The sequence below is a fragment of the Homo sapiens genome, chromosome 9 (genome assembly GCF_000001405.40).
Source record: "Homo sapiens chromosome 9, GRCh38.p14 Primary Assembly".
NCBI lineage: Eukaryota > Metazoa > Chordata > Mammalia > Primates > Hominidae > Homo > Homo sapiens.
In genome coordinates, this window is record NC_000009.12 from 21928769 (window position 1) to 21942487 (window position 13719).

The window sequence follows — 13719 nt, forward strand, 5'->3', positions numbered from 1 at the left end:
TGGACCTCTTACCTTTAACCCTCCTTCAAATCTGTATTGCCCCTAAGGCTCCCTAGCAATTAAGCCCCTTTGAGATCTTATATTGTAGGCCATTTCTATATTCAGACTTATCTGATACTAGATGAAGAAACTGCCAAAATCACCCAGTATGTTTCTTCTTTAGCAGGCTTCCAACAGACTCTCTGGGAATATGGGTTAAAAACAAACCCAACGTCGGAAGGGGAAACAATCCCAGCCTCTGTATCTTCCAGGCTCTAGTTCTCATTAAAGCTTGGAAGGTTGAAACCCCAAATTCCTAACTAACTGTATTCTGGGGGGGCCACTTCACTGCTCCAGTATCTATTCCCACAGCCATTAAAGTACCAGAGATAGCCAGCTGGATACATCATGCCTGGGTGAAGTCATGGAAAGGCCATGCAACACCAGAGCCAGAACCAACACCCTCAGCTCCAGAATACACTTGTGAGGCACTGGAAGACCTGAAATTCCTCTTTTAGTGAAAACATAAGTAATGCCCCCTCAACATCCTTTCACCTCAAAGTAAGGTGATCCTAGTATTAGGAATTTTACTAACAATTGTTATGATTATTATCACTATTTTAATCCCAACTTGTACACCACCAGGAGTTCCAGTGGCAGCTTGCTTTGTGATCAATTTCTCTCTCTCACAATCACCTTAGGTCACCATGGCTCTGCTCCTGTTGGTTCTCATACTCAACGCTTTACTGGCAGCACACTGCCATCCTGATTTCCTGTTATGAGAAAAAGCTCAGCAATTGCTCCAAAACACAGGATCCCCTTACTCCACCAAATGCTGGTTATGTACTAGCTCTTCCTCTAAAACACCAGGGAGAGCTTATCCAGCCTGTACCAGAGATTGGACAAGCATAGACATAGAGTTACGTATTTCCTCTCAACAGGACCCTAATCTGAAAGAGCTATTTGGGTCTGCAAATAACATTTTTTGCAAAAGCAAAGCAGTATTTACTTGACATCCACAAGGCACCTCTCATTTTTGGATCAATCTTTTCTAATATCACTTTAATGGGAATAACCTCTATTTGTCTTATGGCCAAAAGAAAAAGATGGATTGGATGTAGGCTCTTTCCCAGTATAGCTTGTAATGTTACTCTCTCTGTAGATTCTAACCAACAGACTGATGGAACATACACCGAAAACCAATTCCACCATCAACCAAGATTCCCCAAACCTTCAAATATTATCTTTCTTCAGGCAACTTTGCTAATTAAGTCCATTCAGTTTTGCCAGCAATGCCCAAGCTCATGCAGTACTTGAAATTTCTAGTTCCAGCCTGATGATTATAACCAATGTCTGCAAATTGCCAACCTCAGCTCCACAGCAGAATGGGTTCTAATGGAGTAAACTCAAAATTCTCTTTTTTTGGGAAAATGAAACCAAGGGAGCTAATCAGAGCCAAACCCCATGTACCCAAGTGTTAGCAGGCATGAATGTAGCTACCAGCTACCTGGGTGTGTTGTCATCCTTGGTATTTTTGGGGGCTGTCCTCATCTCTTCTTTTGTTTTGACATCTCTACTTGTCTTAAAACCCAAGGAGCCTTCTGTGTTTGTGGCCAATCAGTTTACCAATGCCTCCTCATTAAATGGACTGGAACTTGTACCATAGATTATGTACCCCTGGACATCTTTATACTCCCTGGCAATCTCTCTCTTCCAGCACCAATCCATGGGAATTCTATCTTGCCCAGGGTGAAAAGGGCTATCCAATTAATTCCCCTTCTTATGGGCCTCAGCATTATAGCTGGTATGGGAACCTAAACTGCCGGAATCTCAAAAGCCTCCTTGACCTATAGCCAACTCTGAAAGGAAATAGCCAGCAAGTTTAATATCATGGCTAAAACCTCAACCATGGCCAGAGCAAATTAACACTTTAGCAGTTGTAGTCCTCCAAAACTGTCAAGGACTAGATATGTTAATGGCAGCACAGGGAGGAATTTGTTTAGCTTTAGATGAAAAATGTTGCTTTTGGGTAAATCAATCAGTAAAAGTACAAAACAACATCAGACAACTCCTAAATCGAGCCTCCAGCTTACAAGAACAAGCCTCTCGTGGTTAGTTAGATTGGTAAGGAACCTGGAAATGGGATCTTCCCTGGGTTCTTCCCTTTTTAGGCCCACATGTTAGCCTCTACTTTTGCTCCTTTCAGTCCATGTCTTCAAAAATCTAATAACCCAATTTGTCTCCTTTCTCTCACCTTTAGATGATCAAGTTCCAGATGATCCTCAGTGAGGGATACCATCCTTTCAATATTCAAGAGTCACCCTTCTACAGAGGACTCCTAGACTTCCCATCAGTGGGACATGGCAGAGGTGAAATCCTGCCCCTGTCTCCCTTAGACCTGGCTGGATACTGCTTCCAACAACCCATGCAGCCACCCTGCCCTGACAGCTAGCAAGAGGCCAAGACCCACAGAACAATCACCATCACACCTCTGTCAGCAGGAAGCAGTTACAGAAGACTGACCTTCATCCAGTTTCCCAAAGAATTGGGTCATGGATTTTTGCGGGGGAAAATGTTAGAGTAGGTAATTAGGCAGACATGAGTAAGGGAGGAGAGACCCCCTCCAACTAGGAATGTCAGGTGAGCATCAGATGATCATCAGGTGGTTGTTAAACTCTCTCTCTAAAATAATAATAGGTTGCAACTGGCAGCAGGGAAAGACAATCTCCCAATAGATAGAAAAGTCCTGAAGCTGGTGATCAGCAGCTTCCTAGTAAGATCTCAGGATTTGGGCAAGCAGGCTCAAACATGGGCACTAAGAGGCAAAATCGTGGAGTTTAACTGGTATACAGACTTCCTCTAAAAACACATGACTCATGCACATGTGGACAGCCTGCCCCAAGGAAAAATCAAAAGAGGAGAGATGCAAAACCCCAGAAGCATGCCAATATATAAAACCCCAAGTCTAAGGTCAAACAGGGCACTTGGATTTCTCAAGTTGCCCACTTGGCCCTCTTCTAAGTGTACTTTATTTCCTTTCATTCCTGCTCTAAAACTTTTTAAATTTCACTCCTGCTCAAAAACTTGCCTCAGTCTTTCACTCTGCCTTATGCCCCTTGGAAGAATTATTTCCTTCAAGATGGCAAAAAGCAAGCTGCTGCAGACCCATACAGATTTGCTGCTGCTAACAGGAGGATAACTTGAGCCCAGAAGGTTAAGGCTGCGGTGAGCCTTGATTATGCCACTGCTCTCCAGCCTGGCAACAGAATGAGACTCTATTTTTTTTTCTTTTAAAAAGACTTTTTACAAAAGGCAAAATGATAATGGAACTAAAAATGTACGTTGACTGACTTAACTCCAACTGCTTCTTCCCTCAATTGAAACCACCTTTGCAAAAATTATAACAGTGAGAAAATTATGGCAGTAGGGGTGATCTGATCAAGCCAAACCCCATCTTGCCTTTAGCCTTCAAGCTGCCCATAATTATTCCTGGGCTTAGGCCAAGCTAACTTTGGGAGACACTTGGTCTATAGTTTAAATGATAATAGTCCTTCCTTAAAATTCAACCACCTCAGCAAAGCTGATGAGAGGCCACCAGGCAAGGAGGATAGAGGAGTCTAAATTCTGCTAAGGTGTAGATATAAACAGTTTCCAGCCATTATTCTGGAGGTCACAAAATGTGCAACTTCTTCAATTACTCCTGCAGATAACATCAGTATTTTAGAACCTAAGATTGGCCTTTTGAGATGTCTTTTCAGGTTTTTTTGTGTGTCTGACTACCGATGGCTCCACCTGGACCCACCAACCACTCCTGTGGCCCCATCCAGAAGCAACTCAGCATGCATAAGGACTATTTCCCACACCCCTATGATTGCACCCCCAACCAATTAGCAGCAAGGACTTATTGCCTAAAACAGCCCCATTCATCCCCCAAACCATCCATGAAAAACCCTAGCTTTCAAATTTCCGGGGAAGCTGATTTGAGCAATAATAAAATACGTCTCCCATTTAGCCAACTCTACATGTATAAAACTCTTTCTCTATTGCAATTCCCCTGCCTTGATAAATGATAAATCAGCTCTATCTGGGCAGCAGGCAAGAAGAACCCGTTGAGTCCTTACAATATCCTTCTTTCTACCCTCCTCTGCCTAATTACTCTGAATCTACTAACTTTTTCACTCAGTTATTTTTCCACTTTGAAGACAAAAAGTTAGAAAAAAAAATGCCTTATGAAATTAGTCCCTCAGAATAAACCAGCTGGGCTTTCTTTAGCCACCTGTATGCTTTAGTCAAAATCTAAGCTCAGAGGCAATAGTGAAAGGCTTTCTTATCCCAAAGGAAAACTCTCAGAAATTTGCTGAAGCTATCCACACTGAGTGTAGGTATAGAACATGCTTTGCCCTATTTATTCATGGGCACCATCCTGAACTCAGTAATCTAGCTTTTTTCTTTTGAAGCTGGATGGGGAAGACACAGATCTAGCTGAATTAGTTGCCAAAATATGCTATCTGGCATAAAGATTATTTTGAGAGAGTTATTTTGAGACTCTTTGTAAGAGAAATTTATATCTACAAAGGAAGTCTCCATTTATAAGCTTGTCTCTCTGCATCAGGAAGAAAAGAAGGACTAAATCACCAGACACTCTTAACCAATGGAGAAGGAGTTTAAGTAACAAACCTTACCTTTGTTTAAGGTGCTTTTTCTGGCTCTCTGCCATTAAGATCTACATTTTCCACCCTGTCTCCTCTAGGACCTGAGGGTTATCTCTTTGATATGCAAATGCCAGGGAGATTACTCACCAGAAGAAGAAGAAGAAATAGAGCTAATTGGAAATTGAGCAAATAAAAAAATCTTGTTTTTTCTCCCAGAAACAGTGAAAAGCTTTAGCCATCCTTTAGATAATCTTAACTTGTTCCATCTGCCAGAAACACAATTTGGATTCAGAAATTCTTTATGAACTGTTTTTGTATTATTGTACCTGGCACATGGCTACAGTTTTCAAATGAAAACTGTGAAATCTGCTTCTGTCTGTATTTTATGTATGTCTGTGTATGCATGTATGTGTAATATTTTTCTACCTCTAGAGACTATCCTAAAATTAACTTATAAAGAGCTGTATTTAATTGCCTTAAAGAAAAAGCACTTATACAAATTAAGTATTTTTTAAACTTTCAGAAAAATAAGACCTAGCGCAAATGTTCTTCAAGTTGATATTGTTAAAAGAAGAAACTTCAGCCAAATTAAACTTAAAGAAGTTTAATTGAGCAATGAATGATTCACAAATCAGGCAGCCTCCAGAGTTACAGCTGATTCATGGAGACTCCAGGGATGCCTCATGGTCAGAACAAATTTATAGACAAAAAAAGGGAAGTGACATACAGAAATTAGAAGTGAAGTACAGAAAGAGCTGGACTGGTTACAGGTTGGTGTTTGCCTTATTTGAACACAGTTTGAACACTCAGCAGTGTCTAAGTGGTTGAAGTATGGCTACTAGAATTGGCCAAGACTCGGCTATTGTTACAGGAACGTACTCCTAAATTAGGTTTTCAATCTTGTCTACCTGTTAAGTTAGGTTACAGTTCATCCACAAGGACTCAAATATAGAAGTACGGAGTCCTTCTCAGGCTATCTTCAGTTCTCTTTAACAGTATGATACGGGATAATCTTCAGTAAATAAAAATTTCTTTAAGTTTGTTGGATTAACTAAAGCAGGCATGTCTTCAGAGTTGTCAACATTAAATATAATACATACATACAGTTTTTTTCTACCAGGGGTTACTAGGCAAATAAGTTTGTTATTGTAACTAGATGTTTAAGATTATAAAACTGTCAGTTTAATCTAAGAGCAAAAGTGAAAATGTGGTAGCTATTTTATTAAGTACAGCGGTAAAGCAAGTATATATTAAGTATAGCAGTAAAGCAAAAAAACAAAAAAAAACAAGTATTTAACTTTTTTTTGGTTTTTTTTTTTGAGACGGAGTCTCTCTCTGTTGCCCAGGCTGGAATGCAGTGGCACAATCTCAGCTCACTGCAACCTCCACCTCCCGGGTTCAAGCGATTCTCCTACCTCAGCCTCCTGAGTAGCTGGGATTACAGGCGTGCACCACCATGCCCGGCTAATTTTTGTATTTTTAGTAGAGATGGTGTTTCACCATGTTGGTCAGGCTGGTCTCGAGCTCCTGACCTCATGATCTGCTCGCCTCGGCCTCCCAAAGTGCTGGGATTACAGGCATGAGCCACCAAGCCCGGCCTTAACTTTTTTTTAGGTTCTTGCTTTTGTGATATTTGGCTAACATACATATGCTGTAAAAATTGTTAATAGGAAAATATTAATAATGAGATGTTGACTAGCTTTGTCTGTCTAATGAAATTTCATAAGTCAATTAAAATTAAGAACAATTGAATTATAGAATAGAATTCAATTGAATTCTATTGAATACACTTGCTGAATACAACAATTGAATTGTAAATAGAATAGAAATTATAAATGAACTTTTCAATAGTAATTATTTTTTAATACGGGTACTTAAAATTGTGTCAACTTCTTAACAAAAGAAATGGAGGCAAAATTAGTATAAACAGTTTATTTGGGCCAAATTTGAGAACTGCAATGTGGGAGACACGTCTTCAAGTTGCTATGAATATAAACTCCAATTAGCAGCAGTTACAAGCGGTTTTTTTTTTTTAAAGAAGGGGCAGTTCTTTAGTTGCATATAAACTATTGATTGGCTATACATTTTTTTTTAACCATAAATTCCAGGAGCATGAACATAATGGGTGAGGGTCACATCCCCTGGGCATGGATTTGGGGCAGGATGTGACAAAAATCTCATACTCATGTCTCTCTGGGCCTGATAAATTTTGCATACTTTATATAGTTCAGACTCTTCTGAGCTACGTTTCTTTCTCTTCCTTTTGGTTGAGTTTTTTTTTCTTCTGAAAGTATTGATGATCAACATTTTAGATGTAAGTTTGTCCCATGTCACTGGAAGACTTAGTTTTAGTTAGTCTCATCCCACATTGGAGGAAGAGAGGAGAGATAAAATGGCTTAAGAATGCAGTGAAGTCTCAAGGCCAAGTTGATTGGCAACACAAAGGGACAGGGCAATGGTATTTCAGGTCATCTGCTTACAAAGGAGCTATGGCATGTTGGATCATTTCTAAGCATCTAGCTATCATTATTTTAGTGTTTTTGTTGATTTTGGACATCTAGAAGTGCAAAGTATAATCAATTTGAGAATAAAAGACATGATGCAAATAAAGACAATTACTAACAAAAGCCAGATCTGAAAAATGTTTTTATTTCCGAAGGCGACCAAATAAATATGTTTTCTACTTCTTGTGCTGATCTAAAGATCAATGTATAGGAGATCTCCAGTGATGAGTTTGTCCACTCAGGCAGAGCTGCCTTTTTAAAATAAAAATTATGAATGCATAAGTCAATGTATTTGAATTTAACTCCACAAGTATTGGTTAACAATACAGATATGGTCGCTTCCAAGGTGTTTGGAGGGAGTTTTGTATTTGATGGCATTCCACATTGGAGGCCATGCTATTTGATGTCTTCATCTCCTGGAACCACACTGTATTGTTTGGACATATCTATCCAGACAGATGATGATAAATTTTGCATATCTCACATAGTTCAGACTGCTCTGGGCTACTTTTCTTTCTCAATAGCTTCTCATTGTTAACTTATGCCTGTAGAGTTTTGCTAAACTAAATTAGATAATGGACATTTATTAAATATTTAGATCATTTCCAAATAACATAAAATGCTGAAACATTAATTGCTTAACATAAGTTAATCTACTTTTGGTTTTTATTACAAAGGAACTAAATATATTTACATCTGTTAAAAAACACTTTAAACTGTACTATGAGAAAGAATATACTTCTATAGAAATTATAAAATGGTATATTTATAGATTTACCATTTTATGGAATACCCCATAACCGTTCACAATTTCTTATTTCCTAGTTTTCACTAGAAATTGAAGTTACTAAGAGTTAACAATTTTAACTAATATAGAGTAGTTAAAAAGACTAAAAATAATAAGGGAGATAACTATATGCAAAGAAAGTAAGACATGTTTTTGGTAAGGAAAGCCATAAGGTATAAGGATGTGCTTTTTTTTAAGGAAAAGGAAGAATAATTTGGTCTAGTTTGGAGGTTATTTAAAGGTTGTTTCAGAATGAATGAAAGATAAAATCTAAATGGATACAAAAAGGAAGAGAGATGACACACACACAAAATGAATGACTCTTGTATGGACAAGTTGGCTAGAACTGAATGTATTATAAGGTTTTAAAAATGAGTCTTGACCAAGCACTGTGGCTCACGCCTGTAATCCCAGCACTTTGGGAGGCCAAGGCGGGCAGATCATGAGGTCAAGAGATCAAGACCATGGTGAAACTCCATCTCTACTAAAAATACAAAAATTAGCTGGGCGTGGTGGTGCGCACCTGTAGTCCCAGCTACTAGGGAGGCTGAGGCAGGAGAATCGCATGAACCCAGGAGGCAGAGGTTGCAGTGAACTGAGATCACACCACTGCACTCCAGCCTGGCGACACAGTGAGACTCCATCTCAAAAAAAAAAAGAGTCTTAATATCAAAAGTAAACTGATGCAAAACTAGAATTTGGTCTTCTCTGTGAAAATGACAGTTTTCTTTTTAAAGAGTATTGCTCCAGTTTTTAAAAGTGATTGTGAAAAATTTTCCTTTCCCTTGTAACTAATCGGCCTACAAAATGAAGATTTTGTGTTTTCTCAAAATAATTCTTTGTGCTTCGTGTTGCCTTTTTTTGGTCTTTAATTACTTAAGAAAATTGAATCTTCCCAACAAAAGAGCTAGTTTTGTTTGTTTTGTTTTTACAGTTATTAAACTTTCTCTATTTGCCTTTGAAACCTCTTAGTTGTTACTTTTTGTGTCTTCACAGTGACTTTTGATATATTTAATCAAGTGTTTAAAACATTTGATATTTTTGCCAGACTTCCTAAAACCAAATTCTAAACTAAATCTTTTTTTTAACCTCAAGCTAAGTAGGATTTTCCAGATGGATTCCTGGAATATCTCAAAAGACTTTGTTTTCTTTCCTTATAGAAAGAGAGGTCAGGCACAGTGGCTCAGGCCTGTAATTCTAGCACTTTGGGAGGCCAAGGTAGGCAGATCACTTGAGCCTGGGAGTTTGAGACCAGCGTGAGTAACATAGGGAGACCCTTCTCTACAAAAATTAGCCTGGCAGCCCAGCGTGGTGGCTCATGCCTGTAATCCTAGCACTTTGAGAGGCTAAGGTGGGCTGATTGCCTGAGCTCAGGAGTTTGAGACCAGTCTGGGCAGCAAGGTGAAACCCCATCTCTACTAAAAATACAAAAAATTATCTGGGCATGGCGGCGTGTGCCTGTAGTTCCAGTTACTTGGGAGGCTGAGGCAGGAGGATTGCTTGAATCCGGGAGGCAGAGGTTGCAGTGAGCCAAGATCACACCACTGCACTCCAGCCTCGGCAACAGAGCGAGAGTCCTTCTCAAAAAAAAAAAAAAAAATTAGCCTAACATGGTGTCATGCCTGTAGTCCCAGCTACTTGGGAGGCTGAGGTGGGAGGATCACCTGAACCTAAGGAGGTTCAGGCTGCAGTGAGCCATGATTATGCTACTGTATTCCAGCCTGGGCAAGAAAGTGAGACCTTGGAAAAAAAAAGAAAGAAAGAAAGGGAAAAAGAAAGAAAGAAAGAAAAAAAGAGAATTGCATAGGAAGTTGTCAAATAAGGGTGATGTTTAACCTTCTTATGTTATAATATTATTCATGTAAGTTTTCCAGATGTTCTGTGAACTTCTACAACTCCGATATGTCCTGATATGTTATCAGTCATAATTTTAGTTACCTTAAAATGTTGTGTTTCTCAGAAATAACAAATTACATTGTCAATTGCATTATAATGAACTTTCATCAGATCTTTAACCATGGCCATTTTTAAGTCTGTTGTCATCCACAAACAGTAGTTTTACTCTGATACTTTCCTGAAAGTTATTCCAAATGCTTTGTTTGCAGGAAGATTTATGGAAAATATTGAAATGTGTGGGTTTCTGGTAACTTTAAGATCATAACATTGGACTGCATAAGAATTTCCAGGACTCTATTGGAAAAACTAAATTTATAAAATTGCTAACCCAAGATCAAGTAGAAGAAAAATTAATTACATGGTGATATGGTTTGGCTGTGTCCCTACTGAAATCTCAACTTGAATTGTATCTCCCAGAATTCCCACATGTTGTGGGAGGGACCCAGGGAGAGGTTATTGAATCATGGAGTCTGGTCTTTCCCATGCTATTCTCGTGATAGTGAATAGGTCTCATGAGATCTGATGGGTTAATCAGGGGTTTCTGCTTTTGCTTCTTCCTCATTTCACCATCAGGTAAGAAGTGCCTTTCAGCTCCCGCCATAATTCTGAGGCCTCCCCAGCCACGTGGAACTGTAAGTCCAATTAAACCTCTTTTTCTTCCCAGTCTCTGGTATGTCTTTATCAGCAGTGTGAAAACGGACTAATGCACATGGGATAAAATGTATTGATAATAATGATAATTTTATGACTTTTCGTTTGAAACATTGCTGTTTCTTTAATGTCTAATTTTTCAGATTTAACGTAACTTTTTCTTTCTTTCCTTAAGCTATCTATAGCTTACAGAAATTTAGCAGATTATACCTTTATCAACAGAAAAGAAGCATATACTTTCTCTCTTACCTGATCCCTCCAGAATTCAGAAACTATTAGCAAGTATTATTATTTCCAAGGCAATATAGTTATATGCATAACTGCAATAAGAATATGTTCTTCTGGGCTGGGCGCAGTATCTCATGCCTGTAATCCCAGCACTTTGGGAGGCCAAGGAGGGCTGATCACTTGAGGCCAAGAGTTTGAGACCAGCATGGCCAACATGGTGAAACCCCAGCTCTATGAAAAAATAATAATAATAATAATAATACAAAAATTAACTAGGTATGGTGGTGCACGCTTGTAATCCCAGCTACTCAGGTGGCTGAGGCACAAGAATTGCTTGAACCTGGGAGGTGGAGGCTGAAGTGATCTGAGATTGTGCCACTGCACTCTAGCCTGGGTGACAGAGTGAGACTCTGTCTCAAAAAAAAAAGAATATATTCTTCCTATAACAGGACACAATTAGAAACACTGGTTATATTACCAAGGTTTTAAATAGAATATCATACTTAAAAATATGTGTAAAATTTTATATGACCAGCCGGGTGTGGTGGCTCACGCCTGTAATCCCAGCACTTTGGGAGGCCGAGGCAGGTGGATCACCTGAGGTCGGGAGTTTGAAACCAAGCCTGGCCAACAGGACCCTTAAGGACCCTTAAGGAGATTTTAAGAACCTAATGAAGAAGAGAATTCACCCAAAATTATAGGCATTGCAGATGAAGTCTGATGACAAGTCCTTGGCTTGCCTTCCTAGCTTGGAAAGACTTTTTAAATTCTAATTTGAGACTCCTTATTAAAAGTCCCAGCAAAGTATACTTTGAAAAAGCTTATGTAATGAATCACTATTCTTACTATACTTATGTAAGTAATCAGGCCAAGTGTAACGGGACTAGGCCTATTTTGCAAACAAATCAGTTTTACTGTGATTATTTTTGGAATGGGCATGACTATAAAGAGAAAAACTATATATTAGTAGAAAACTATAGCACACCCATTGTTAGATTCTAGCCTAGTTCACTGTCTTTGAGGTTTTGTTATCTACTTGTAAACTGAACTGGATCCTGAATTCTAATTTCCTCCAGTATCTGGCTATGACTTCTACCGAGCTGACTACAAATTTGAGGGTTCCCTTGACCTCTTCCTCATGTTCAATAATTTACTAGGACAATTAACGGGAACTCAGGAAAACACATATGATTGCCAGTTTATAATGAAAAATACAATTTAGGAATAGCCAAGTGGAAGAGATTCATGGGGCAAGGTATGGGGGCTCTTTCTTCCATGCCTTCTCCAGGTGCACCATCATCCTAGCACCTCATTGTGTTCACCAACCCAGAAGCTCTCTGAACCCCAAAGTTTAGAGGTTAGTATGGAGGTTTTATTACATAGGTATGATTAGTTAAATTGCCAACCATTGGTGCTTGAACATTATCTTTACTGCCTTTCTTCCCCCAACCCCCAGAAGTGGAAAGGGGTGCTAAAAGTTACAACCCTCTTATATTTGCTTTCAGGTGACAACTTTCAAAGTGAGTTGGAGCAAAGACCAAACATATATTTGCATGAAATCATGACATCCTATAGTAATATTTGATTTTCAAACTCTGCATGTATAATAGTTACTTAAAATTTAAATTAAATTTTAAAATGTACCAGTTATGCAGCTGAATTTTGGTACTTTTTCCCTTGGCTTTGTCTGGTATCTGAATCCACCATCATTTCCCTGTACAATATCTGCCATTGGAGATCCAATTGGGAAAATACATTTAAAGAAAAAATCTAAGAAGCATCTCATAGGTTGTGGTTCCCTTGCATCCACACTCATTATCATGGTATTATCTTCCCCAAGGTGGGTAATAGTATATCCCTGGCTAATATCAAGATTAGCACTAGCTGTCTGTAGATACCATTTAGAAAAGTTTTCTCTACATGTCCTCTCTCACCACTCCTATTCAACATAGTATTGGAAGTTAAAAAAAAAGTTTTCTCTACTTGAAACTAAAATTTATGGCAGACTATATGCTTCCGAATGTTCTAAAACCTTACTAGAAGACAAACATTGTCAAAGGTAGGAATGTGGCCAACATGTCAGGTAACGCCTATAACAAATTAAAATCTGGCGATTGCTGCCAAGATACCCACAAAACTATCGGAGGCAACTGCTGCTAAAAGACCATAAAGATGATTCTGGAGACAAAGGCCTGTGGAAGTCAATAAAATAATGGTCAAAGTGGACAAGATTTAAAAAAATTAGGATTCAGAAAGAAGCCAATTGTCATTTAGGAAACAATTATCTGATAACAAAGCTCAGTGCCCTCTTAGGGCTGACATTCATGTACATATTAAATATTGTAGAACTGATAAGGCTTGGTGGATTATATTTGACAAAGGTTATTTGTATTTCAAAAAGGAATCAACTTTTGAGACAAAGGAATGCTTTAATTCATTCAACAAATATTTGCCAAGTACCTACTTTAGGGATATGATGGTGTGTAAAAAAATTTTTGCTGCTATCATGGAGTTTAGAATATAGAGGTAAGGCCAATATTAATCTAGCAACATTAAATCTTGTGTAATTGTAAACTGAGGTAGATAAGTGCTCAAGAAAAAAAGGTTCTGTAAAAGTTTATATCAAAAGATCCTGATCAAAGAAGTATTCTAGGGGAAATAATCATTAAACTGAGAGCTGAAGGAAGAGTTGGGTTGAATGGCATAAATCTTAAAATGAGACAGGGTTTATACCTGAGGGTTGGTATATTAGTTTACTAGGGGTGTATAACAAAGTATCACAAACTGGGTAGTTTAAATAACAGAAATGTATTGCCTCTAAGCTCTGGAGGCTAAATATCTGAGATCAAGGTGCTGGTAAGGCTGTTTCCTTCTGGGTTGATGAGGGAGATTCTTTTTCATGACTCTCTCCTAGATTCTAGTGATTTGCTGGAAATCTGGTGTTTCTTGACTTGTACACCTTTGCCTTTGTTATAGACTGATGTTGTCTCCCCCTAAAACTTATGTGTTAAAATCCTAACCC

General features: G+C 38.5%; 1 protein-coding gene across 5 annotated transcripts in view; it reads left to right on the forward strand.

The window, feature by feature from the left end:
- Window positions 1-12347, forward strand: part of MTAP (methylthioadenosine phosphorylase) — a 138480-nt gene extending 126133 nt beyond the window's left edge. For 2 of the 5 annotated variants that reach the window (NM_001396044.1, NM_001396045.1), the window contains 3 exons: window positions 2240-2348; window positions 10392-10450; window positions 12203-12347. In NM_001396044.1, the coding sequence (NP_001382973.1) occupies window positions 2240-2348; window positions 10392-10450; window positions 12203-12262 (228 nt within the window). In that variant the 3' untranslated portion in view covers window positions 12263-12347. Of the gene's footprint in view, window positions 1-2239; window positions 7259-10391; window positions 10451-12202 lie in introns of those variants that run through there. The other 3 variants (NM_001396043.1, NM_001396042.1, NM_001396041.1) reach the window with 2 other exon arrangements.